This window comes from Homo sapiens, chromosome 8, assembly GCF_000001405.40.
Source record: "Homo sapiens chromosome 8, GRCh38.p14 Primary Assembly".
NCBI classification, from domain to species: Eukaryota; Metazoa; Chordata; class Mammalia; order Primates; family Hominidae; genus Homo; species Homo sapiens.
In genome coordinates, this window is record NC_000008.11 from 94,714,923 (window position 1) to 94,742,283 (window position 27,361).

The window sequence follows — 27,361 nt, forward strand, 5'->3', positions numbered from 1 at the left end:
GTTTTTCAAAAAAATGTCCTGACCAGGTGCAGTGGCTCATGCCTCTAATTCCAGCACTTTGGGAGGCCAAGGAGGGTGGATTGCTTGAGCCCAAGAGTTCAAGACCAGCCTGGGCAACATGGTGAAACCATGTCTCTACAAAAAAATATATATATGTAATGTATATGCGTATATTTTATATATGTATATATGTATATTTTATATATACACACACAGAATATGTCTATATTCAGAAAAATACACACACACACACACACACACACACACGCAGAAAAATTAGCTGGGCGTGGTGGCGTGTGTCTGTAGTCCCAGCTACTTGGGAGGCTGAGGTGGGAGGATCACCTGAGCCTGGGAGGTCAAGGCTACAGTGAGCCATGATTGCACATGTGCACTCCAGCCTTGACAACAAAATGAGACCCTATTTCAAAAAAAAAGAAATAAAGAAAATGTCCTAAAACATCTAATATATCCAATTCAAGAATATTTAAATAGAATGCTTTTTTTTTTTTTTTTTTGAGATGGAGTCTCGCTCTGTTACCCAGGCTGGAGTGCAGTGGCATATTTTGGCTCACTGTAACCTCCGCCTCCCAGGTTCAAGAGATTCTCCTGCCTCAGTTTCCTGAGCAGCGGGGACTATAGGCACTCACACCACGCCCAGGTAATTCTTGTGTTTTTTTGTAGAGACAGGGTTACACCATGTTGGCCAGGCTGGTCTTGAACTCCTGACCTCAGGTGATCCGCCCACCTCGGCCTCCCAAATTTCTGGGATTACAGGTGTGAGCCACCTTGCTTGGCCTTTTTTTTTTTTTTTTTTTTTTTTTGAGACAGAGTCTTGCTCTGTCACCCAGGCTGGAGTGCAGTGGTACGATCTTGGCTCACTGAAGCCTCTGCCTCCCGGGTTCAAGCGATTCTCCTGCCTCAGCATCCCGAGTAGCTGGGACTACAAGCGTCTGCCATGACGCCCAGCTAATTTTTTTATTTTTAGTAGGGACGGGGTTTTGCCATGTTGGCTAGGCTGGTCTTGAACTCCTGACCTCAGGTGATCCGCCCGCCTCCGCCTCCCAAAATGCTGGTATTACAGGCATGAGCCACCGGGATTACAGGCAGGAGCCACTTGGGAGCCCAAGGTGGGCGGATCACCTGAGGTCAGGAGTTCGAGACAAGCCTGACCAACGTGGTAAACCCCATCTCTACTAAAAATAGAAAAAACTTAGCTGGGAGTGGTGACAGGCACCTGTAGTCCCAGCTACTCAGGAGGCTGGGACAGGTGAACCCCATCTCTACTAAAAATAGAAAAAACTTAGCTGGGCGTGGTGACAGGCACCTGTAGTCCCAGCTACTCGGAAGGCTGGGACAGGAGAATTGCTTGAACCCGGGAGGCAGAGGTTGCAGTGAGCCGAGATCGAACCACTGCACTCCAACCTAGATGACAGAGTGAGACTCCGTCTCAAAAAAAAAAAAAAGATTTTAATCAACAGATAATTAATATTTTATTACATAATAAAGATGAAACACAATTCCATATCTTTCATAGAAGCTGAACCGACACAAGGATTTCTAACTAATTATGTTCTTTTACTACTAATGAGGTGAAGCATATGCCAGAATAATGTTTCTTGTTTTTTGTTTTTTTGCTGCTGTTGTTTTTTTGACAGGGTCTCATTCTCAGCCAGGCTTGAGTGCAGTGGCTTGATCACAGCTCACTGCAGCCTCAACCTCTTTGGCTCAGGTGATCCTCCCACCTCAGCCTCCCAGGTAGCTGGAACTACAGGTGCACGCCACCATGCCCAGCTATTTTTTGTATTTTTTAGTAGTGGCGGGGCTTCACCATGTTGCCAAGGCTGGTCTTGAACTCCTGGGCTCGAGCGATCTGCCGGCCTTGGCCTCCCAAAAAGCTGGGATTACAGGCATGAGCCACCTCGATCAGCCTCAGAAGAATGTTTTAAAAATAGACTGCATGTATTTTTTTGGTTTCAAGTAGAGAAGTTTTAAGGCCTTCTGTTTTATATTGTTCTTACATCTTGGCAGCACTTTTTCCTGGGAACATGGAAAGCACATGATTAATTTCAAGATGGAAATATCAGAAATCATGTTCGACTCATCATTTATCACATCCAATTTGTCATCAGGCCCTGTAGATTTCATTTCCAGCATCTTTTGAATTCATTCTCTTTGAACATTTTTATTTTCATTGCCTCATACCAGGCCTTTATTTTCTTACTCAGTTTACTATAAAAGCCTCCTAAACTACATTTGCTAAAGACTTAACTTTTTAAAACAAAGAACATTTCACATTATGTCCTTAAAATATCCATTGCATAGAGAAGAGGTCCTCAAACTTCTAGAGAAGGCGGAAAATCACACGGCTCTTTGAATAGCTCATAAGTAAAAGACAATTTGGGAAAATTTGGGTTCTTTAGGACTGGTCAGGGTGACGCAAAATGTAATGAAATGCTCCTTCACATCTTGCATAAGAAACTAGCAGCCCATGGTTTTGCAGTGATAAAACAATCAGAGTATCGTCTGAAATCATCTTACAACCATATGTCCACTAGCCATCTGGAAACAGCTGGCCTTAGGAATTAGGAAATGGCCTACTGAAAACTCAGCTGTAATGCCTGCTGCAAGGCAACATCTTGAGTAGTTCAGGTTCTAATTCTTCTTGAATGAAATATAGATTTTTAATAAAAACAGCCTATTTTTCTCACAGTAAGATTACACTGGTTTGAGAATAAGATGCTCCACTCTCATTATCCTTATGTGTTTTTTGTTTGTTTGTTTTGTGTGATGGAGTTTCGCTCTTGTTGCCCAGGCTGGAATGCAATGGCATGATCTCGGCTCACCGCAACCTCCACCTCCCAGGTTCAAGCAATTCTCCTGCCTCAGCCTCCCGAGTAGCTGGGATTACAGGCATGCGCCACCACGCCCGGCTAATTTTGTATTTTTAGCAGAGATGGGGTTTCTCCATGTTGGTCAGGCTGGTCTCGAACTCCTGACCTCAGGTGATCCACCTGCCTCAGCCTCCCAAAGTGTTGGGATTACAGGCATGAGCCACCGTGCCCGGCCCTAATGTGGGTTTTTAGGGTTCAAGAGAAGAATGTTTCTACTAGGGCATAATTATCTCTATCTTATCTTATATTTCCATTTGTTATTTTAAGAAGCTATTTTTTTTCTATCATTTTTCTTTCCCCTGTTATTGTAGAGGTCAGGCAAACTTAAAATTTAGTCCATTAGTCAACTTGAGGTGACCGTGAAGAAACTGTAGGATATTAAGACTCTAGACTTAGAAAACAGCAGACCTCAATAGCTACTATATGTTTTCCAAGAGGTGCAGCTCTTTCAGTCAGCTGATCTGATAAGCAGCATACTCAGGTACTGTTGCTCATGTCCAGGGACCCTACCATATCCTGTGGTTTTCAGGGTCCTTATATTCTGTGCTCTCTTGGCTCTGGCACCAGGCCTTTTCTGGTCCACTGTTTCTAACTCCTGGTAAAGTGTTGTTTTAAGGCAAAAAACATCTTTACGGGGAACCAGACATAAAAAGAGTTCCTGGAGGCCCTGCGTGGTAGCTCATGCCTGTAATCCCAGCACTTTGTGGGGCTGAGGCCGGTGGATCACTTGAGGTCAGGATTTCAAGACCAGCCTGGGCAACATGGTGAAACCACACCCCTCCACTTCTCTACTAAAAGTACAAAAAATTATCCGGGCGTGGTGGTGGGCACCTGTAAACCCAGCACTTCGGGGGGCCAAGGTGGGCGGATCACTTGAGGCCAGGAGTTGGAGACTAGCCTGGCCAACCAACATGGTGAAATCCCATCTCTACTAAAAATATGAAAATTAAGTGGTGGCTTGCGCCTGTAGTCCCAGCTACTGGGAAGGCCGAGGCACGAAAATCGCTTTAACCTGGGAGGCGGAGGTTGCAGTGAACCTAGATCGAGTCATTGCATTCCAGCCTGGGCGACAGAGCGAGACTCTGTCTCAAAAAAAAAAAAAAAAAGTTCCTGGAACCGTTTCTGCACATCACTGAAAAATGATAGCCTCTCCCCAAATATCCTAACTTAAAGGTGCTATTAGGAGAATCTTGCTGCCTGCTAATAATGGGGTGTCCATAATTACCCCATGACTTCAGTGAATTCTCGTGCCTGTTTCTCCCGATCTAAAATGGGTATATTTCATTTACTAAATTTACTTCTGAGTACTGTTGGGGAAAAGATCCCGGTGTTTGTTGAAGAATGCTAGATATAATGAAAGTTAAACACAGTTTAACAAATTAAAATTATTCCCTATTGCTCTGTAATATCTAATTGCACACTGCTCTACCCCAGACCATTGTATTATCTCCCCGCCCCCCCCCCCAGAATATCATGAAATGCAACATATTTGCTAAACCAGTTTTGGTGATTTAAAACAAGTTCCAAGCACAAGCTTCTTTCTTGTAATGGTCAAGTGGCCTACGAAACCAAAGCGCCAACTGAGAACGTTTTGCTGCTGCACTCTGAAATCCCAGCGAGAACGCAGGCAGCGATGGCAGTTCTGGAGCACCGGGTTCCACTTCTGCCTCTGACCGGCTTTGTGACTTCCACCACATTAGATCTGAGTTTCCTCCATGTAAAATGGGGCGGGAATGGAGGCTGGACCTGGGAGGTGTCGCTGATGATCGTCTCTGACTCGCTAAGTCGCGGAGTCACAAAAGTGGCGGAAAGCATGCCCTCACTTTTTGGGAAGAGTAGGACGAGGGGCGGGGCTGCAGCGAGACCCACCAGTCTCGCTTTCCAGGGCAGGCGGCGGCCAGGAGCTACAGCTGTGGGCTGCACTCCCGGCGTGGAGTCTCCTTCCTGCCCGCGCAGGCCCCGGCGCCCCAGCGAAACGCTCCGGCCGCTCCCCTCTCCCAACACTCTGGTTCCCGGGCCGCCTGCGGGGACGCGGTTGGCGGCGACACCGGAGGGGGGTGGGTCAGGAAGTGGGGGCGCGGCGGCCAGGAGCGGGCCCCCGGAGGCCGAGGGGTTCGGCGACGCGGAGGGAGGGAGAGTCTGGGCCGCGCGGGAGCCGCAGGGCGCCCTAGCCTTCGCAGAAACGATGGCGGAGGAAGAAGGTGATTGCCGCGGGGTCCAGCGCGCCAACGGCTGCCAGTGGTCTCGGGAAGGAGGGGCGGGGGCGCTGGAGGTCTGGGTTGGAGCTGCTGGTGGCCGCGGTCGCGGTGGCGGCCGCGCGGGCAGGGCGGGAAGGAGCGCGGCGCCCAGGAGAGGACTGCGGAGAAATTCAGGAGAGCGGAGCAAATGGCCCGAAGTTTTGTCGGCCGAATTGGGAAGCAAAGGTGGAGCTGAAAGTTGGGAATCCGTAGCAAGAGAGAAAGCTGTGCCGGGAGTGGTTGGGAAAGAGGGAGGGTCCTGATCAGATTCTTGGTGAAGTGGGAGGCGCAGTTTGGTTTCGAAGATCAGGTTTAGGTACTCAGTGCATATTTGGAATGCGATTTTTAAAGGGCTGTGGATATTGACAAACCCAGAGGCACAGGGGGCGAGGGAACATTCACCACGGGGATAAAGAGGCAGGGATTTGGGATAAACGTGGCAAGATTAATTGGGAATGGGCGAACACGCAGAAACTGAAGAAAGCCAAGTTCACTTAGGTTCAGGGGAAAATGGTAAAGAGCAGAGCCATCTAATTATTATAGTTTTGGGAGATGATGAGGCCAGGAGGCCTTTGAGGGTCAAAGTGGGTGAGCTGGAGAAAGGTTTCCATGCCGCCTTCAGGATCAATGCTAAGATAAGTAATTCATTCAGCAGTATTTTATTTATAGAAAATGATAAGTATGAGACAAAAATGGGAAGTTAGATGAAACTTATCGGTTAGTGATAAACAATACAAGGAATACTCATGGCATAGTAACTTCATGATAACCCCTACTAGTTTCAGGAAGTGAGAAGCAATTAGATTTTTGCATTCTGGTGGAAAACACAACTTTTTACCTTATGAGTGGAGCTGTGGATGTGATAGTAAATCGATCTAATTTAGACTCAAGCCCCCCTGCCTTTTTTTTTTTTGAAACGGAGTTTCGTTCTTGTTGCCCAGTCTAGAGTGCAAAGGCGCGATCTCGGTTCACCGCAACCTCCGCTTCCTGGATTCAAGCGATTCTCCTGCCTCAGCCTCCCTAGTAGCTGGGATTACAGGCATGCGCCATCACGCCCGGTTAATGTTATATTTTGAGTAGAGACGGGGTTTCTCCATGTTGGTCAGGCTGGTCTTGAACTTCTGACCTCAGGTGATCCGCCCACCTCGGCCTCCCAGAGTGCTGGGATTACAGGCGTGAGCCACGGGTCCAGCCGACTCAAGCCTTTCTGAATCAAGAGTGCAAGGAAGGAGTTTAAAGGATTCAGCGGAAAGCAATTTTTAAAAATTAAGCATAAGAAGTGTTTACTGATGTGTGACTTGCTGACCTGTCCCTATGCAGGCTTGGTTCATATTTGTTTCCATTGAGTTTTCAGAGTGTTAAAGCTGGTCTGAATTTAAGACATTCTAACTAAAAACAGCTTCAAAAACAAAGCTATTTGTCGTTGGTGAGAAAGAATGTAATTCCATTTGTTTACTTGGTTCTGTCTGTGGTTACAGTATATCATCATTTGAAATATTTCTTGATGTATTTTTCTTTTCTAATTGCAAATTTATGGGGGTAGGTTGATATACTAGCTTGTAGGTTCCTATGAGTACATTCATGCTTAACTTAAAGCATTAAAAAAGTTAAGACTGCATTAAAAAATCAGTACTACAATACTGAAAGTCTTTAATACATCATGCAAAATGAAAAATTATTTTAGACTATGGTTGTACTTAAATAGATCTGTGGAGCCAATATTAAAAGATTGTACCGTTTTGTAAATTTTACTTACGTGATGTAAAATGATAAATGGGCGGGGCATGATGGCTCATGCCTGTAGTCCCAGCACTTTGGGAGGCCAAGGCGAGTGGATCACTTGAAGTCAGAAGTTCGAGACCAGCCTGGCTAACACAGTGAAACCCCATCTCTACTAAAAATACAAAAATCAGCCGGGTGGAGTGGCAAGTGTCTGTAGTCCCAGCTACTCAGGAGGCTGAGATAGGAGAATCACTTGAACCCGGGAGGCGGAGGTTGCAGTGAGCCAAGATTGCACCATTGCACTCCAGCCTGGGTGACAGAGTGAGACTCCATCTAAAAAAAAATAAAATTAAGGCCGGGCAAGGTGGCTCACGCCTGTAATCCTAACACTTTGGGAGGCCAAGGTGGGCGGATCACGAGGTCAGGAGTTCGAGACCAGCCTGGCCAATATGGTGAAACCCTGTCTCTACTAAAAAATACAAAAGTTAGCCGGGCATGGTGGCGCATGCCTATAGTCCCAGCTACCCGGGAGGCTGAGGCAAGAGAATCGATGGAACCCAGGAGGCCGAGGTTGCAGTGAGACGAGATCGCCCCACTGCACTCCAGCCTGGGTGACAGAGTGAGACTCCCTCTCAAAAATAAAATAAATAAAATGATAAATGATTTTTGGTTGTAGAATTACATATAATTCAAAAGCAGTTAAATACATCTTACATGGGACAATTAATGGGTTGTAATTTATTAAAATATTGCTTTATTCAACACATTTCTAATTCCATAAATATGTGTATTCATACCCTATTAGATGCAAGGATATAATAGTCAACAATGAATGAGTAAATTTTCATTTATTATAATGCTAGTAATAATAATACATATAGCAAACCTGTCTGTCTATGTGCCAGGCATTCTGAGTGTTTTATGTTTATTTGTCACTCTATACTTTTTTTCCCCCAGAATCCGTATTATCTTTTGTTCGCTGTGTTAAAATTAGACTAAATAGTCTGTGTATTTTACTTGTATCCAGGTGTTCTCCGCGTCCCATCTTGCTTACCATTCACATTCACTTGGATCCTCTTCATTGTCCAAGTAAATACTCTGGGAATCTGGTCTTTAAAAAAATGTCTTCCTTGATGCAGTAGAGGGCCAGGGTGTTTATATTTATGCTTTCTGAACGCAATGTTAGAGCAAAGAAAGAAGTGACAACCTTGAGTAGAGCAGTATTAACATTTCACTTGGAAACTGCTATGTCTAGCCTGGATAGACATTTGAAAGTCTGTTTGTAGCCCTACTGTTTCATATGAAGATGACTGGACTGAAGTCTGAAATAGCAGGTTACTTTTGTGGATGTGTAATCATCTTCATTTAGTTTGACTTTTTCTTTACAATGCTAAAAATATCAGATAGTGAAAAGGAGTGGCCGGGCGTGGTGGCTCACGCCTGTAATCCCAGCACTTTGGGAGGCCGAGGCGGGCAAATCACGAGGTCAGGAGTTTGAGGCCAGCCTGGCCAACATGATGAAACCCCTGTCTCTACTAAAAATACAAAAAATTAGCTGGGCGTAGTGGCGGATGCCTGTAATCCCAGCTACTCGGGAGGCTGAGGTAGGAGAATTGCTTGAACCCGGGAGGCGGAGGTTGTAGTGAGCCGGGATGGCACCACTGCACTGCAGCCTGGGCAAAAAGAGTGAAACTCCGTCTCAAAAAAAAAAAAAAGATAGTGAAAAGGAAACCTGAATTACATCGCAGAGCTTTCCTGTCAGAACTGATAATCTCATTTGTCCATTGCTTTGGCCTTTGCTTTTTTTCCACCTAGAGATGTGTGACTTTGTTTTTCCATTATGAAATTATATGAAAAGTTAGCTTTAGGGATAAGGTTGAAGAGATGAGCTAAAATGAATACTGTATTTATCGAGTCGTACTTTTGGCTCTTACAGTTTAATGCCACTAAAATTGATATGTCTTAAAATCAGTGCACACATTCAGTATGACAGTGTGGTTTTTTTTCCCCTTGAAAAACCTATTAAGTAGTATCTTCAAACGTATGGCATCTTAGAATCAGGAAAATATAATATTATAGATCTTTTATAGATTACATATTTGTATGGTCCTTGATCATTGCTAATATAAGTTCTTGAGAGATGATTGTTGAGATTTGTATACTTCATAAATTACTTGAAAATCTATGCAAAATGTTTGTGTAAGTTGTACTTTTATAAACAAAAATCATTTATGGACACAAAGAGAACATGTTTAATTAAAGTCCTGTAAAGCGATTTATTTGATAAAGAACATTTTTAAAAAGGAAAATGATAATTTTTTGTAAGAACACATTTTATGTGACTATTCCCCTCCCAATTTATCACTAAGTGTGTATTTTTAGACTCTAATGGAAAAGACCCACCTACCTAGCCCATTGGTCACATATAGTATATTTGTTGACTATCTCAATAGATTTGTTAATTTGACTTCTGAAATTATCCAATTAAATGTTTTAAAGTCCAATGCTATTACGTGATTAATCATGCAGGTGTACCTGCAAAGGAAAGTTCTTGTAGTTATATCTTCCCCTTGTATTCTTTTAAAATAAAATTAAAAACAATAATTTGCTTTTGAAGACTTATATTTGATTTTGCATAAATATGCGTTCTTGTTGACTGCTTCTAACTTTTACTTTAACCTAGAGCAGGGGAATATTAAAGAGGCATAATGAGGAAGGAATATAGTAATATTTACTAATTGACCTAGATTTATATACAGAAATACTCAAAGTCTGGGGTATGTTTTTCTAATAATGTCATTTTTTGTTTTTTTTGTTTTGTTTCGTTTTGTTTTTGAGACGGAGTCTCCCTCTGTCACCAGGCTAGAGTGCAGTAGCGCGATCTCGGGTCACTGCAGCTCCACCTACTGGGTTCAAGTGATTCTCCTGCCTCAGCCTCCTGAGTAGCTGGGATTACAGGAGTGCACCACCACACCCGGCTGATTTTTCTATTTTTAGTAGAGACAGGGTTTCACCATATTGTCCAGGCTGTTCTCGATCTCCTGACTTCAGGTGATCCACCCACCTTGGCCTCCCAAAGTGCTGGGATTACAGGTGTGAGCCACCATACCCGGCCTAATAATGTCATTTTAAAATATTTTCATTGATTTCACTACTTAACATGACTACAGAATAAATGGTAGTATAGAAATGGGTAAACATTAGATTCATCAGTCTGAATCCACTAAATGTACAGCTTTTTTTTTATCACTATGCCAGTGTTTAAAGATATTTTAGTGAACATACAAGTTTGCTATGAAGCTATTTTAAGATACATTTATTTTATTCATTTTCCACAGTAAAGCTAGAGAACATCCATCTGATCAGCAGCAACTGATTCATTTCTCCTTCTTTGACTTTTATGTTTATTTTCACATTTCATAGCCTGAAGTTATTACTAAGAGAAAGGAAGAAAACTGTCTTCCACTTCCATGAGAAAGATAAATTATTGTATCACTTTATAACTTGGCAGGAACACTCTGTACTTACAGTATCATAATCTATCCCACAAGATGATTAATTCTAGGGAGGAAAAGTATAAATTGTATATAGTACATTCCTGTTCATCTTGGAGTTTAGTTTACTAGTTTGGAGGTAACTTCTGCATCACATTTTCTGAAACTGGAGCTAGAAGAGGAAGATAGTCTAATCCTGGGAAATTATTTTGAGACCTTCTCATATATAGGTATCTTTGTAGGTTCAGCCTATTTTCTAATACCTAAATCTATAAGATTGTACAATGCTAATGATAACACAGCACTGAAATTCTGCAGAACTTTTAGGGTTATTTAAAAACAGAAGTGTAGTTTATGATGAATGTATTATGTTTTGATTTTTTTTTTGAGATAGAGTCTCGCTCTGTCGCCCAGGCTGGAGTGCAGTGGCACGATCTCGGCTCACTGCAAGCTCCGCCTTCTGGGTTCACGCCATTCTCCTGCCTCAGCCCCCCAAGTAGCTGGGACTACAGGCGCCTGCCACCATGCCAGGCTAATTTTTTGGTATTTTTTTTTTAGTAGAGACAGGGTTTCACCATGTTAGGATGGTCTCGATCTCCTGACCTCGTGATCCGCCCACCTCGGCCTCCCAAAGTGCTGGGATTACAGGCGTGAGCCACAGCGCCCGGCTATGTTTTGATTTTTAAAGAACAGTTAAACCATAAATTATGCATTTGATACTTTAAGGTAACTAGAATTATGAGGTGAATAACACCTTGACCCCCAGTTTGGAAAAGAGCTTACTTATTTTGGGATGTTTTGAAAATTCCATCATCTTGGGAGAAGAGCACATTGGTTTACTATTAGGATTGTCAAAACACAGATTGGGAAGTGGAACTTAAATTGTCTTTTTTTAGACAAAAGATAATTTTGCAGGGGTGCCAAAATAATTATGAAAAGGTTATCTTTGATACTAATAGGTCTTAGTGGTACTTTTGCTTTAGAATAATAAAGGTTAATTGGCTCAGGATACAGATTAAAACAATTTTATACACACATTGCAATAATGTCTTAAATATTTTAAGGACCACCTGTAGAGCTGCGCCAAAGAAAAAAGCCAAAGTCTTCAGAAAATAAGGAATCTGCCAAAGAAGAGAAAATCAGTGACATTCCAATTCCTGAAAGAGCTCCAAAACGTAAGTTAGATAGACTTGGAATTTGTGCTACTACAAAAATAGTTTACACTAGAAAGTATATTTTATGTCAATATTTTAAATATACATATTTTGAGATTAAGTATATGCTCAGCTTTCACTAGGTTTTGGACAACCCCCAAATCTCACTGGCTTATGACAAACATTTATTTCTAATTAATATTACATGTTGTGGCTGCAGTTTGGCTGTCGTAGTTTTATGTGTTGCGAAGGAATAGTCCGTATTTGGGAAAGATTTTTCTTGTGACGTAGGAAAAGAGGAGGCAGAATCATGCAATGTCTCTTAAAGTTTCTGCTGACCTGGCACACTATCACTTGTACGCACCTTTTATTGGCCAAAGCAAGTCATATAATCAATTCAGACGATGGGATGTGAAGTATACTTTGATTACAGGGAAGTGTTCCAGGTCACATGGTAGTGGGCAGGGATATATAAGATTTTTAAAGGGAAGGAGAAAATAGTTGTGAATAATAATATAGTTTACCACACCCTGTCCTTGTGATTTATTTCTCTCCCTCAGACAAAATACGCTTACTTTTTCCCACACCCGAAAACTCTCTCTTATCTAGTCACAGCCTTAATCTTGAACCCAAAGGCTTATCTACATCAGGGCCAGCTATGACTCATTCTAATCCAGAGATCTATGAACTAAAAAGACAGGTTATCTGTTTTATGTCGGGGGTTCCCCAGAACACCCCCATGTTTGGTTATTAGCTGGAAGGACTCACAAGTTTCAGAATGAAGTTGTATTTACAGCTATGATTGATTGATTGATTGATTGATTGATTTTTGAGACAGAGTCTCGCTCTGTCACCCAGGCTGGAGTGCAGTGGCACGATCTCAGCTCACTGCAACCTCCACCTTCTGGGTTCAAGCGATTGTCCTGCCTCAGCCTCCTCAGTAGCTGGAACTACAGGCACATGCCACCACGCCTGGCTAATTTTTGTATTTTTGGTAGAGACGGGGTTTCACCATGTTGGCCAGTCTGGTCTTGAACTCCTGACCTCAAGTGTTCCACCTGCCACAACCTCTCAAAGTGCTGAGATTATAGGCATAAGCCACCGTGCCCAGCCTACAGCTATGATTTATTATAGCAAATAATATAAAACAAAATCAGCAAAGGGAAAAGGCCTATTTTGGTGAAATCTGCAAGAAACCAGGCATAGGCTTCCAAATTTCCACTCCAACAGAGTCACACAGGATGGGCCTGATTCCTTCAGCATCAAATTGTGACATTTGTAAAGTTTTATCTACCAGGGAAGCTCATTAGTGACTCAGTGCTCAGGGTTTTTACTGGGGGCTGGTCATGTAGGTATCCTCTGCCTACCATGTCCCAAAATTCTTGACTCCCAGAAAGAAAGCATAAACTACATTGTTTGTACAAAGAGGATAGGCACTGTTATCAGTTAGAGAATGGTGGGAACTCTCCTGAAATTGAAGTTCCTAGATGCCAGCCAAGAGAGCCTACCTTGCAAGCAGGGCTTTCTTTTTTTCCTTTTTCTTTTTCTTTTTTTTTCTTGAGACAGAGTCTCACCCTGTCACCCAGGCAGGAGTGCCATGGTGCGGTCTCTGCTTACTGCAACCTCCATCTTCTGGGTTCAAGCAATTCTTGTGCCTCAGCCTCCCGAGTAGCTGGGATTATAGGCATGTGCCACCACACTTGGTTAATTTTTGTATTTTTAGTAGAAACGGGGTTTCACCATGTTGGCCAGGCTGGTCAACTCCTGACCTCAGGTGATCCGCCTGCAAGCAGGCCTTTCTCAGGAAAGCGGTCTCAGGCCTGCTGTGTTAACTCTTTTCTGCACATCCCCCCACTCTCAGTATACACTGTTGGACAGGGACAGGATATCCCCTTACTCTGGGATAAGGAATCTGTTGTGTTTATGCCCCAGTTGTGTTCCTGGGGAATTGTTTTCCAGTTCATTGTTTTCCATGGTCCTTGATTTTACACTCTAGAGATCTTTTCTCTTCCATTTTCCTCTATAACCATATCTAAAGATGGGTTTGGAGAATGTGTCATCCTTAAGGGCTAAACAGCTTTCTCAGATTGCTTGCTCTGCACTAAAAGTTGAGGCCTATATATAAATTTGCTCAAGATAAAAGCTGTGGGTAATCTACAAATCTAGGTGAGGGGCTGGCCGCAAGAAAACTATATTTGGGAGCTGGAAAAATGAAGATCTATATTATATCATGACAAAACATTTGATAATACTGTTTCCTGTGAACAGTTGACAATACTATTTTTTTCTATCATTTTAGGTAATGAGATTGCAAAACAGAATGTTACTAGAGTGCCTTTGTTATTAACATCTGCATTTGACTACAGGAAAGAGATCTGGGTTTAGAATAGAATTGGACTATTTGTAAGTGGGAATAAAGAAGAAAATAGAGAATCCCAAAATTCTGGGACTTGTAATGTTGAAGTGAGAACAGTTTATTAACCAGGCATGGTGGCTCGCGCCAGTAATCCCAGCACTTTGGGAAGCTGAGGCAGAGGATTGCTTGAGGTTAGGAGTTCAGGACCGTCCTGGACAACATAGTGAGACCCTGTCTTTATTTAAAGAAAAAAAAAAAAGAAAAAGCTGTTTGTCTTTTTCAACCAATGAAAGTTAAAATCAAGAAATGGGAGGCCAGGCACGGTGGCTTAAGCCTGTAATCCCAGCACTTTGGGAGGACGAGGCAGGTGGATCATGAGGTCAGGAGATCGAGACCATCCTGGCTAACATGGTGAAATCCCGTCTCTACTAAAAAAATACAAAAAATTAGCTGGGCATGGTGGCATGCAACTGTAGTCCCAGCTACTTGGGAGGCTGAGACAGGAGAATCGCTTGAACCTGGGAAGCGGAGGTCACAATGAGCCGAGATTGTGCCACTGCACTCCAGCCTGGGTGACAGAGTGAGACTCCGTCTTAAAACACACACACACACAAATTTAAACTTAGGCAATATAGTGAGACCTCATCTCTACAAAAAATCAGAAAAAAAAAAATCAGCCAAGTGTGGTGGTGTGCCCCTGTAGTCCCAGCTACTTGGGAGGCTGAGACACAAGAATTGCTTGAATTCAGGAGGTGGAGATTGCAGTGAGCCGAGAATGTGCCACTGCACTCCAGCCTGGGCAACAGAGGAGATTCCATCTCAAAAAAAAAAAAAAAAAAAAAAAATTTAAGCCTAGGCAATACAGTGAGACCTCATCTCCACAAAAAAATTAAAAAAAAAAAATTAGCTGAGAATGTGGTGGTTCATGCCTGTAGTCCCAGCTACTTGGGAGGCTGAGGTAGGAGGATTGCTTAAGCCTGAGAAGTGGTGTTTGCAGTGAGCCAGGATCACGCCACTGCACTCCAGCCTGGACGATGCAGCAAGACTCTGTCTCAAAAAACAAACAAACAAAAAAGTTAAAAAATTTGAAAAATACAACGTAAGAAAGAAAATTAAATAGTCTAGAAATATCGATTACAAAATAGTATTTCCTCCCCAACTACAAAAATATATTTTCAGGGTAGAAAATGTGGAAAGTAGAGAAAAAAAAACCAAAACTGCATCCATAATTTCAGTAGATATAAATACTCTTAAAATTTTGGCATAAGTGTGGCTTTTTTCTATGTACTTATAGTTTTTTTTTTCACTTTTTGTGAAATTGAATCCTGCATTTTTTTCTCAACATATCATTGGCTTTTTTATGTGCATTAAATATTACTTAACTGTGTTCTATATTCTGATAGTGACATTTCATAATCTGTTTTTAATTTTGTGTGCCTGATCACCATTTTACAAATGAAGGGACTGGGGCACATAGAAGTTATCTGATTAGGCTGGTTTGTGACTAACAACTTAAAGTCAGATCCTTTACTTTTTGATTTTCAAACTAAAATGGTTGTATTTTAAGAGTTTGAGACCAGGAACCAGAGCTCCTTATTTTCTCTAAAATACATGTACTTATTCCAAACACTGAAAGCTTGATGTCTACTCCATCTTTGACTCCTTACAAAAGTAAAATATTTAGTAATGCTGGGCGTGGTGGCTCGTGCCTGTAATCCCAGCACTTTGGGAGGCTGAGGTGGGGGGATCACCTGAGGTCGGGAGTTTGAGACCAGCCTGACCAACATGGATAAACTCCATCTGTACTCAAAATACAAAATTAGCCAGGCGTGGTGGCACATGCCTGTAATCCCAGCTACTCGGGAGGCTGAGGCAGGAGAATCGCTTGAACCCAGGAGGCAGAGGTTGCAGTGAGTCGAGATCACGCCATTGCACTCCAGCCTGGGCAACAAGAGCGAAACTCTGTCTCTTTTTTTTTTTTTTTTTGAGACGGAGTTTCGCTCTTGTTGCCCAGGCTGGAGTGCAGTGGTGTGATCTCAGCTCACCGCAACCTCCGCCCCCCAAGTTCAAGGGATTCTCCTGCCTCAGCCTCCCGAGTAGCTGGGATTACAGGCATGCACCACCACACCCTGCTAATTTTGTATTTTTAGTAGAGACGGGGTTTCTCCATGTTGGCCAGGCTGGTCTCAAACTCCCGACCTCAGGTGATCCACCAGCCTCGGCCTCCCAAAGTGCTGGGATTACAGGCGTGAGCCACCACTCCCGGCCAACTCTGTCTCAAAAAAAAAAAAAAAAAAAATTAGTATTAAGGTTAGGCATTTATATATAGAAATTGGTTGAATATACTTTTTATAATAGTTCCTGATAAGTAGGATTAATTTGTCATTGTCTAAGCCTTAATGAAAAAAACAAACCCAAGAAATCCATTTAGAAATTTCTAAGTGCTTTTGCCAAACTGCCACCCTAGATTACTTTTCTTACTAGTTTTTATAGTTCATATTGTCTCAACATTGCTTTAATGATTTCATATATTTTTTCAGGTATGCTTGTGTAGCATAATAGTAATAGCAAATATTTGCTGAGCTCTTAACTGTATGTCAGGAACCATGCCAGATGCTTTACACATGCTACTGGTAACAGAAATTTTATTTTATTTTGAGATGGAGTTTCGCTCTTGTGGCCCAGGCTGGAGTGCACTGGTGTGATCTCAGCTCACTGCAACCTCCACCTCCCGGGTTCAAGCAATTCTTCTGCCTCAACCTCCCAGTAGCTGGGATTACAGGCATGCGCCACCACACCCAGCCAGTTTTGTATTTTTAGTAGAGATGGGGTTTCACCATGTTGGCCATGGTTGGTCTCAAACTCCCGACCTCAGGTGATCCGCCCACCTCAGTCTCCCAAAAAGCTGGGATTACAGGTGTGACACTTGTATCATATTGGTGCTAATATCGGATTTATTGCAGAGTGTTTTTGTTTGTTTGTTTGTTTGTTTTGAGACGGAGTCTCGCTCTGTTGCCCAGGCTGGAGTGCAGTGGTGCGATCTCGGCTCGCTGCAAGCTCCGCCCCCTGCAAACTCTGCCTCCCGGGTTCACGCCATTCTCCCGCCTCAGCCTCCCGAGTAGCTGGGACTACAGGTGCCCGCCACCACACCTGGCTAATTTTGTTTTTGTATTTTTAGTAGAGACGGGGTTTTGCTGTGTTAGCCAGGATGGTCTCAATCTCCTGATCTCGTGATCCGCCTGCCTCGGCCTCCCAAAGTGCTGGGATTACAGGCGTGAGCCACCGTGCCCGGCCTGCAGAGTGTTTTTCAAACATTTAGAATATGATTATTTATTGATATTTAATTAGTTACTCTATACTAGTTTGCATAACAGCACAACTGCAACATGCTATGCAAACTATTATGTATTAAATAATGTTATAAAAATAACTAAAATTTTAGTTTAGCTAAAAAAAAATCAACAAGTTGATTTTTACTGTCAGTCATTCGGTAACAGAACGCTGGGTTTTAGGCCTTTAGTCCCTTATTTTTTTTATTATGCTTATTATACTCAATGGCTGTAGCAAGACTGAATCATCTTTTGTATACAAAATCCAAATGTGTCTTATGTTATTTCATTAAGAAGCAGTTACAGGCTGGAGGCAGTGGCTCATGTCTGTAATTCAGCACTTTAGGAAGCCAAAGTGGAAGGATCTGTTGAGACCAGGATTTCAAGACCAGCCTGGGCAACATAGCAAGAATCCTGTCTCTACAAAAATAAAATAAAATTTAAAAAAGAAATAGTTTGTGTCCATATATAACAGTTGTATGTGATCTTTTAAAACATGATAATCAAAACTTATTGAGTTGTACATTTTACATGGCTTTAGGTTTATAGTTAGTTATTCTTCAATGAATAAAAAATCCTGAAAGGAAAAAAAAAATTTCTGAATGAACCTGTACTTTTTTTGATATTGGGTCATACATTCCTTTGGATTACTTTTTAATATTCATAGACTAATTTTTGTACCATCTTACCCTTTTCTTTTTCTTTCTTTTTTTTTTTTTTTTTGAGACAAGATCTGGCTGTGTCACCTAGGCTGGAATGCAGTGTTGCCATCTCGGTTCACTACAACCTCTGCCTCCTGGGCTAAAGCGATTATCCTGCTTCAGCCTCCCAAGTAGCTGGGATTACAGGCACCCGCCACCACCACATGGGCTAATATTTTGTATTTTTTGTAGAGACATGGTTTCACCATGTTACCCAGTCTGGTTTCAAACTCATGAGCTCAAGCAATCTGCCTGCCTCTGGAAGTTTTGGGGTTACAGACCTGAGCCACCACACTTAGCTTCATCTTAACCTTTTTTTTTTTTTTTTTTTTTTTTTGAGACAGAGTCTCGCTCTGTCGCCCAGGCTGGAGCGCAGTGGCATGATCTCTGCTCACTGCAAGCTCTGCCTCTGGGTTCACACCATTCTCCTGCCTCAGCCTCCCAAGTAGCTGGGACTACAGGCACCTGCCACCATGCCCGGCTAATTTTTTGTATTTTTTAATAGAGACGGGGTTTCACCGTGTTAGCCAGGATGGTCTCGATCTCCTGACCTTGTGATCCTCCCGCCTTGGCCTGCCAAAGTTCTGGGATTACAGGTGTGAGCCACCGTGCCAGGCCCATCTTAACCATTTTTAAGTGTAGCGTTCTATTGTGTTAAGTATATTTATGTTGTGACACAGATCTTAGAACTTCTTCCTCTTGCAGAATATAGACTTTAAATTTTATCTTATTTTTGTATTTTATTATTTTTTTGAGACAGAGTCTTGCTCTGTTGCCCAGGCTGGAGTGCAGTGGCACGCTCTCTGCTCACTGCAACCTCCGCCTCCCAGGTTCAAGTGATTCTCCTGCCTCAGCCTCCCGAGTAGCTGGGATTACAGGCACCCGCCACCACACCCAGCTAATTTTTGTATTTTTAGTACAGACAGGGTTTCACCAGGTTGGCCAGGCTGGTCTCGAACTCCTGACTTCAGGTGATCCACCCACCTCGGCCTCCCAAAGTGGCGGGATTACAGACGTGAGCTACCGCGCCCGGCCTATACTTTAATTTTTAAAACAATTTTAGATTTGCAGAAGAATTGAGCAGATAGAGTTCCTGTATTACACTCTCCCACATATGGAGTTTCCCTTATTATTAACATTTTACATTAGTATGGTACATTTGTTACAATTAATGAAGCAATATTGATACATTATTATTAATTTAAGATCATATGTTATTCAGATATTCAGATTTCCTTAGTTTTTACCTAATGTCTTTTTTTTTTTTTTTTGAGACGGAATCTTGCTCTGTCCCCCAGGCTGGAGTGCAGTGGCATGATCTCGGCTTACTGCAACCTCCACCTCCCTGATTCAATGATTCTTGTGCCTCAGCCTCCCGAGTAGCTGGGATTACAAGTGTGCGCCACCACACCCAGCTAATTTTTGTATTTTAGTTTCACCATGTTGGCCAGGCTGGTCTCAAACTCCTGACCTCAAGTGATCTGCCTGCCTTGGCCTCCCAAAGTGCCACCATGCCCAGCCCCTAATGTCTTTTTTCTGTCCCAGTATCCCATCCACAATACCACATGACATTTGGTTATTATGTCTGTTAAGCTCCTCTTGGCTTTGATACTTTCTCAAGCTCTTGTTTTTGATGACCTTGACAGTTTGAGAGATATATTTATAGGATGCCCCTCTGTTGGAATTTATCTGATGCTTTTCTCACAATTAGACTCGAGTTGTGGGTTTTGGGGACAAAGACCATAGAGGTAGAATGCCATTTTTAATTACATCATATCAAGGGTACATATTACCTTTTCATTACTTTTAATATACTTTTTCAGATGTATTATTTCAACGCTTTGCAAAGATTTTCATTGGCTGTCTTGCAGCGGTTACTAGTGGTATGATGTATGCTCTCTACTTATCAGCATACCATGAACGGAAATTCTGGTTTTCCAACAGGCAGGTAAGAAGAAAGAATTTTGAGCATATGAAAGTTATTTTCCCAGGGAACCAGAATGTATGTATGATAAGTATGACAAGTGCTGTCTTATTTATGGCTATTAGGAACAAAATGCTCCAGAAGCTGTTTTGAGAATATAGTTACAGTATCAACCTTAAAATACTAATAGTGTATTTCATAGAATAAAACTATGAGGGTGCTCCCCTTTCTGCAATTAACTTATCAGGGACTTTTGATGACAGTGAAATGTTATGGAGTTTAGTCAGCCTTTTCATAGTTTTGATAGATAGTTCACATTTCAGAAACAATCTGTGGAAGTTTTAGTATTAAAATATTTTAATTTTTAGATCACATGATTAGAATGTTTTTGAGGGTGTTGAAAGGGATTAACAGGCATCACATAGTATTAAGATTTTGTCTCATATTACTGTGTTTAGTGTTTGGTTTTCAATCATGTATATTTCCACAGATTCTTCAGTCACTATAGTTGTATTCATAATTTCATAGTTTGACTTTTGAATAAGTTTGTTTGCAAAGTCCTCTTGGCTTTGTAGAGTTTTTTAATTTTTGAGCCCAAACTGGGTTTTTTGTTTTTCTTATTTTTTAGTCAAGCTGACTGAGTATTTTAAAGCAATTGGTTTAATTAACACCATCAAGACATTTAACTGAGTAATTACTGACTATATCTGTCTTGATTTAGCTATTACTGTAGCATATATTATTTCCCTGAAAATGTTATGCAGATTAACTGCAGTTCTCAACAATGGATATATGATAGAATCATCTAGGGAGCTTTCAAAGATAACCTCCCTCTCAGATTCTTAGGTAGGGGCAGTGGGACAGGCTGCGATCAGTATGTTGATAAATATTTTCAGGTGATTATGTTGTATAGGCAGAACTGAGAATAACCAAAGCTTTGAAAATTAGAAGGCCTTCATTAAGAACTTTGTTTTACAAAGCTTTGCGTATGGGTCAGGAGCATTGGCAGAATCTGGGAGCTTTTTCAGAATCATAGACTCTCAGACCCCACTTTAAAATCCGAATCTACAGTTTAATAAGGTCTCCAGGTGTTTCATATACCCAGTAGATTTGAGAAGCACTGATTGAGAGTTTACATCTTTGAAATCTTAGAAACAAGTATTTGCATTCATAAAAAAAATTTTAAAGTAATTTATTTAGGTCAGTAAGCTCTTAGTTCATTCAGGCTGCTATAACAAAGTACCATAAGCTTATAAACAACAGAATGGCTTGTAAACAACAGAAATTTATTTCTCACAGTTCTGGAGGCTGAAAAGTCCTAGATCAAGGCATGGGCAGATTTGGTGTCTGGTGAGGGCTTGCTTCCTGGTTTATAGCAGGGATCATCTTGCTGCATCCTCACATGGTGGAAGCAGCAAGGGATCGCTGTGGGGCCTCTTTTATAAGGACATTAATCCCATTCTTGAGGGAACTGCCCTCATGACCTAATCACCTCCCAGACATCCCACTTCCAAATATCTTCTCATTGGGTATTAGGTTTCACCATATGTATTTTAGGAGGACACATGTATTCAGATCACAGCAAACTCAAGATGGGGAAAAATAGATCTGAAAAGACTTCCTCTTGGAGAGTCACAATATATAAGATATACTGAAACTCTGAAAAGTCTTACAATAAAGCTGTTTGATTTTGTTTAATCTAGTCTTTCTCAAAACTTATTTAACTACAGAATTCTTTTTTGGTAACATCCGTTAACATTTTAGGAAGTTCTGTTGATCAAACTTTGTGAAAAGTGCTCTAATATTTTTATTTTTGTATTAATTGATACATATTATGCATAAAAATAATTCATTTGATTTTAAAAGATTATAGATTCATAAAATTTTGATTCAGTCTAAAAAGCACAAAGCCTCCTAAGGTGATTTTTACTATTATATTCTTAGTTCTATTAGCCTGATTGTAGGAATTTTAAGATTTGCTGTACCTCTGGAAGTTCATGTGAAGAGCACTGATTAAGTATCTGCTGCTCTTGCAAAGTACTAATTAAAGACTTGCTGTTCTGCATACATAGAGATGTGGAACAGTAATAGAAAATATGACTTTCTCCTTAAACTTGTCTTTTTATTATGGACTTCTAACACTTCAAATATCATTTGTTATTGCCTCTCTCACTATTCTTGCTATTCTTAGGGCATGTCTTGTGGTTTTCCTTCTAGATTTTCCGGATATATGTTATATATAACAAGTGATGACTTGTGATTTACAATTCATTTTAAACCTTAATGTTTCATTAAAATTATTGCCAGATTACTAAAAAGTTAAGTTCCTCATTAATGGGGCCACTAGTAATTAAAGAAAATTCAAACATGTCTTTGAATAAAAAGGATAAATATTATTAATATGTTAATTTGGAAGGTGAGGAGGGAGACAGAAGATTGAGGCTGAAATTTATTTTATTGTTATTATTTTTTGAGACAGAATCTCACTCCATGTCCCAAGGCTGCAGTGCAGTGGTGTGATCTCGCCTCACTGCAACCTGTGCCGCCTGGGTTCAAGCGATTCTCCCACCTCCCGAGTAGCTGGGATTACAGACACACACCACCAGGCCTAATTTTTCTATTTTTAGTAGAGACAGGGTTTCACCATGTTGGCCAGGCTGGTCTCAAACTCCTGACCTTAAGTGATCCACCCACTTCGGCCTCCGAAAGTGCTGGGATTACAGGCGTGAGCCAACACGCTGGGCCAGAGGCTGAAATTTAAAACCAAGTAAGGGCCAGGCGGTGACTCAACGCCTGTAATCCCAACACTTTAGGAGGCCGAGGTGGGCGGATCACGAGGTCAGGAGATTGAGACCATCCTGGCTAACACGGTGAAACCCCGTCTCTACTAAAAACACAAAAAATTAGCCGGGCGTGGTGGCGGGTGCCTGTAGTCCCAGCTACTTGGGAGGCTGAGGCAGGTGAATGGCGTGAACCCAAGAGGCGGAGGTTGCAGTGAGCAGAGATGGCGCCACTGCACTCTAGCCTGGGCAACAGAGCAAGACTCTGTTTCAAACAAAACAAAACAAAACAAAACAAAAAACTTCAAATAATCCAGCCTGGGCAACATTGTGAGACCCCCTTCTTTACAAAAAAATAAAACAAAACAAAACAAAAATGCTGGCCATGTGCCTGTAGTCCTAGCTACTGGGTAGCTGAGGTGGGAGGATCATTTGAGGTTTCAGTGAGCCATGATTGTGCCTCTGCACACCAGCCTGGGTAACAGAGAGAGACTCTGTCTCTTAAAAACAAAAAACTTAAATTTAAGTCTGGGCGTGGTGGCTTACGCCTGTAATCCCAGCACTTTGGGAGGCTGAGGTGGGTGGATCATGAGGTCAGGAGATCGAAACCATCCTGACTAACACGGTGAAACCCCATCTCTACTAAAAATACAAAAAAATAGCCGGGCGTGGTGGCAGGCGCCTGTAGTCCCAGCTACTCGGGAGGCTGAGGCAGGAGAAATGGCATGAACCTACGAGGCGGAGGTTGCAGTGAGCCGAGATCGCGCCACTGCACTCCAGCCTGGGCGACAGAGCGAGACTCTGTCTCAAAAAAAAAAAAAAAATTAAATTTTAAATAATAATTTCATTTTCTTTTAGGAGCTTGAACGGGAAATCACGTTTCAGGGTGACAGTGCCATTTATTACTCCTATTATAAAGATATGTTAAAGGCACCTTCATTTGAAAGAGGTATGATAATCACAGTTATATTTTTAATAACAGTATTTTCCTTTTTCTTTTCTTTTCTTTTTTTTTTTTTTCCGAGACGGAGTCTTGCTCTGTCACCCAGGCTGGAGTGCAGTGGTGCGATCTTGGCTCACTGTAACCTCTGCCTCCCGGTTCAGGCAATTCTCCTGCCTCAGCCTCCCTAGTAGCTGGGATTAAAGGCATGCACCACCATGCCCGGCTAATTTTTGTATACTTAGTAGAGACGGGGTTTCACCATGTTGGCCAGGCTGGTCTCGAACTCTTGACCTCATGATCTGCCCGCCTCAGCCTCCCAAAGTGCTGGGATTACAGGTGTGAACCACTGCGCCCGGCTGTAATATCAATATTTTTCTTAAATAAAACTTTGTTCTTCTATTTTAGAACCTTTCCTCCTCCTTTTATTTTTACTTTACATGTAGTAATTGTGCATATTTATGGGGAGTGATATTTTGATATTATACACAATGTATAATGATCAAATCAGGGTAGTTAGTATATCCATCACATTGGACATATATCACTTCCTTGTGTTATGAATATCCCAAATCAACTCTCAGCTTTTTGAAAATATACACTAAATTGTTGTTAACCATATTCATTCTATAGTACTACAGAATACTAGAAGTTATTTTTCCTATCTAGCTGTAATTTTGTATCCATTAACCAGTCTCTCCCTATCCTCCCCTCCCCTCTACTCTTCCCAGCCTCTGATAACTTCTATTCTGCTATATTGGGACCTTTCAATGTGGGGATTTGTCTCAGGATATAGATATTTCTCTTTATTGTGCTAAATTTTTAAAAAATGGAAAATGCAGCATGGAGTATTCTATTTGGGATCTTTCTTGATAACAATATTAAATATTTAAGGACTAATGACATGTTTAATTACTGTGAAGCAGAATAAATAATCTGGAGAAAAATCTTTCTGTCTTTAGGTGTTTACGAACTGACACACAATAACAAAACTGTATCTCTGAAGACTATAAATGCAGTGCAGCAAATGTCTCTGTATCCGGAACTTATTGCTAGCATTTTATATCAAGCCACTGGTAGCAATGTATGTATTTTTCGTTGGACCCTAATATTTATTTTCTCATGTATTCATGAATCCTCAAATTATTTAATGCCATCCTATTGTCTTGTTCTCTTTCTGTTTTTTCCACATAGGAGATTATTGAGCCAGTGTATTTCTATATTGGCATTGTTTTTGGATTGCAAGGAATATATGTTACTGCTTTATTTGTTACAAGTTGGCTTATGAGTGGAACATGGCTAGCAGGAATGCTTACTGTTGCGTGGTTCGTTATTAACAGGTAAGAAAGCTGTTTTAATTGATTTTTAAAAACTTTTTGTGGCTGTAGTAGTCAGAGTTCTGAAAATGCCTCCCCTCCCCAACAGTCCTCACTCTAATCCTCAGAACCTATGAATATGATGAGATGCCATTCCCATGATTATGATACTTTGTATAGCACATTAGACAGATTGGAAAGATTACCCTGTGGGCCTGGTCTAATCACGTGAGCCCTTAAAACCAAAGTGCTTTCTCTAGCCTGTGTAGAAAGAGAGATCAGAGGATTTTCTGCACCACTGCAGGCATGAAGCAAGGAGGAAATGAATTCTGCTAGTAGCCAATGATATTGTAAGAGGACTACAAGCCCCTGATGAAAACTGTAGCTCTGGCCGATGCCTTGATTTTAGCTTAGGGATACTGAGCAGAGCATCCAGCCATACTCTGCTGGCCTTTGTGAGATAATAAATTTGTGTTGTTTTATGCCACTATATGCAAAAATTGAGACATAATATGCCAGCATATTCTTTTGGATCTTTTTCTTTTTTTATTCATCCTAATCCTTAGAATCTGAATTTTGGGTCTTCTAGGTGAATGTGTGTGTGTATGCATCTGTGTATTTGTATATGTATTTTTTACCAAAATCAGGTCTATTTACAATACTGTTTTGGTTTTGTTTTGGTTTTGTTTTTGTTTTTCATTTTTTTGAGACGGAGTCTTGCCCTGTCACCTAGGCTGGAGTGCAGTGGTGCGATCTCGGCTCACTGCAAGCTCCACCTCCCAGGTTCACACCATTCTCCTGCCTCAGCCTCGGGAGTAGCTGGGACTACAGGCGCCCGCCACCAAACCCGGCTAATTTTTTTGTATTTTTAGTAGAGACAGAGTTTCACTATCTTGGTCAGGATGGTCTCAATCTCCTGACCTCGTGATCCACCCACCTTGGCCTCCCAAAGTGTTGGGATTACAGGTGTGAGCCACTGCGCCCGGCTGCAATACTGTTTTTTTTATGCTGCTTTCTCTATTCAACTGTCACTGCCTTTCCATTTCTATAACTTTTTATCTTATCTAATACCCAGACCTTATTACAGTTTCCCTGGTTGACCCTAAAATACTCTATATAGCTGATTTATCCAAATCAGGATTTAATCCAGGACTCCATAGTGCATCTGGTTGTTATGTTCCTTAATACTCTGTAAATCTAACATAGTCCCCCTTTTTATGTTGAAGAGACTAAGTCTTGTTGCATCCTGTGGTGTCATTTAGCTTTTACCTTTATCTCCTGTGTTTCTGTAATCTGAAAGTTATGTGTAAAGGCTTGATGGGTTCAAAATAAACAGTTCTGGTTGAAATATATGGTAGATTATATATTTTTCATGTTCCATGACAGTAGAAATTATAGTTAATTGATCAACCCCTAGTGAAGCTGAGATTGACTACTGGTTTGGGGGAATGGCAGTCAGATCTCTCCATTGAATAGTTATGTTTTTCTCTAATAACTGGAGAATAATCTGTGTGGCGTTTTTTAGCACCAAATGAATGTCCTTTTTACCATTAAGCATTTACCTAACAGTTGTAACACCAGTTTGTAACCTTTGCCTTAAAGTAGTAATTTTATTAGGTTTTATAAAATTATATTTTTCTATTTTCATTAGCTACATTCTTCATTCTTCAAAAGTAGAATTTTTCCTCATTAACCAGGGCTTTTTGGTTACCTTCAAGTCACTATTAGAAAGTGAAGACAAATGCTTAATTTCAATTTACCAATTTCTAAATAAGAGATTAATTTAATAGCTTTCTCAGTGACAAAAACCTTTGATTCTGGTGTTCTCTTTTCTAAGCATCTTTCTGTACTTATGGATTTTTATTGATTCAGTGATTCATTTTAATTGATTTCATTGATTCAGAACATTTTGATCAATGTTCTTCTGTTGCTCAAATTGTCACACCCTTGGTTAATAGGAGTACCTTTCAGGCCGGCTCCTGAGTTCTTTTGACACAACTTTGTTAATCTTTGAAAGCTTTCTTGTTTTCTGGCTCAACAAGGTGAGTAGGTTTGCACTTTTGCTGCAGAAGATTTGTAAATAGCCATTTCTCATTGGCGCTTTGGTTCCTTTTAGTATAGAATGGAATTAGAAAATCCAGTCTGGCAACTAGGAGGACAAGATGATTTTTTGTTATGTCAGAAAGTGCCTGTTACAGGACATTTTGAGTTGCTGTGTACTTTTCTAAAATTCTATTAGGATTTATTTTTAGAAAGACAGAAAGTTATAATAATACTCATAGACTAGGTTTAGAAAATCTTATATTTTATGGCCGGGTGCGGTGGCTCACGCCTGTAATCCCAGCACTTTGGGAGGCTGAGGCAGGTGGATCACGAAGTCAGGAGATAGAGACCATCCTGGCTAACACGGTGAAACGCCATCTCTACTAAAAATACAAAAAATTAGCCAAGTGTGGTGGCGGGCGCCTGTAGTCCCAGCTACTCGGGAGGCTGAGGCAGGAGAATGGCGTGAACCCA

The 27,361-nt window shown here is 41.3% G+C and overlaps 1 protein-coding gene across 10 annotated transcripts in view, besides 3 other annotated features; it reads left to right on the plus strand.

Moving 5' to 3' along the window:
- Positions 4,071-5,025: an enhancer, noted in NCBI's record as "NANOG-H3K27ac-H3K4me1 hESC enhancer chr8:95731221-95732175 (GRCh37/hg19 assembly coordinates)". NCBI's record gives its function as "activates a minimal SCP1, AML or CMV promoter by ChIP-STARR-seq in primed H9 embryonic stem cells {active_cell/tissue: H9 hESC(primed)}" and the evidence as "EXISTENCE:reporter gene assay evidence [ECO:0000049][PMID:30033119]".
- Positions 4,071-5,105: a biological region, named in NCBI's record as "NANOG-H3K27ac-H3K4me1 hESC enhancer GRCh37_chr8:95731221-95732175".
- Positions 4,786-5,105: a silencer, noted in NCBI's record as "silent region_19368". NCBI's record gives its function as "represses an Ori minimal core promoter by ATAC-STARR-seq in GM12878 lymphoblastoid cells {active_cell/tissue: GM12878}" and the evidence as "EXISTENCE:reporter gene assay evidence [ECO:0000049][PMID:35858748]".
- DPY19L4 (dpy-19 like 4) overlaps positions 4,978-27,361 on the plus strand; it is a 73,937-nt gene continuing 51,553 nt past the window's right edge. For 4 of the 10 annotated variants that reach the window (NM_181787.3, XM_011516983.4, XM_017013351.3 and 1 more), the window contains exons 1-6: positions 4,978-5,092; positions 11,409-11,519; positions 19,708-19,832; positions 23,447-23,537; positions 24,491-24,612; positions 24,723-24,868. In NM_181787.3, the coding sequence (NP_861452.2) occupies positions 5,077-5,092; positions 11,409-11,519; positions 19,708-19,832; positions 23,447-23,537; positions 24,491-24,612; positions 24,723-24,868 (611 nt within the window). In that variant the 5' untranslated portion in view covers positions 4,978-5,076. Of the gene's footprint in view, positions 5,315-11,408; positions 11,520-19,707; positions 19,833-23,446; positions 23,538-24,490; positions 24,613-24,722; positions 24,869-27,361 lie in introns of those variants that run through there. The other 6 variants (XM_005250894.5, XM_047421714.1, XM_017013352.3 and 3 more) reach the window with 4 other exon arrangements.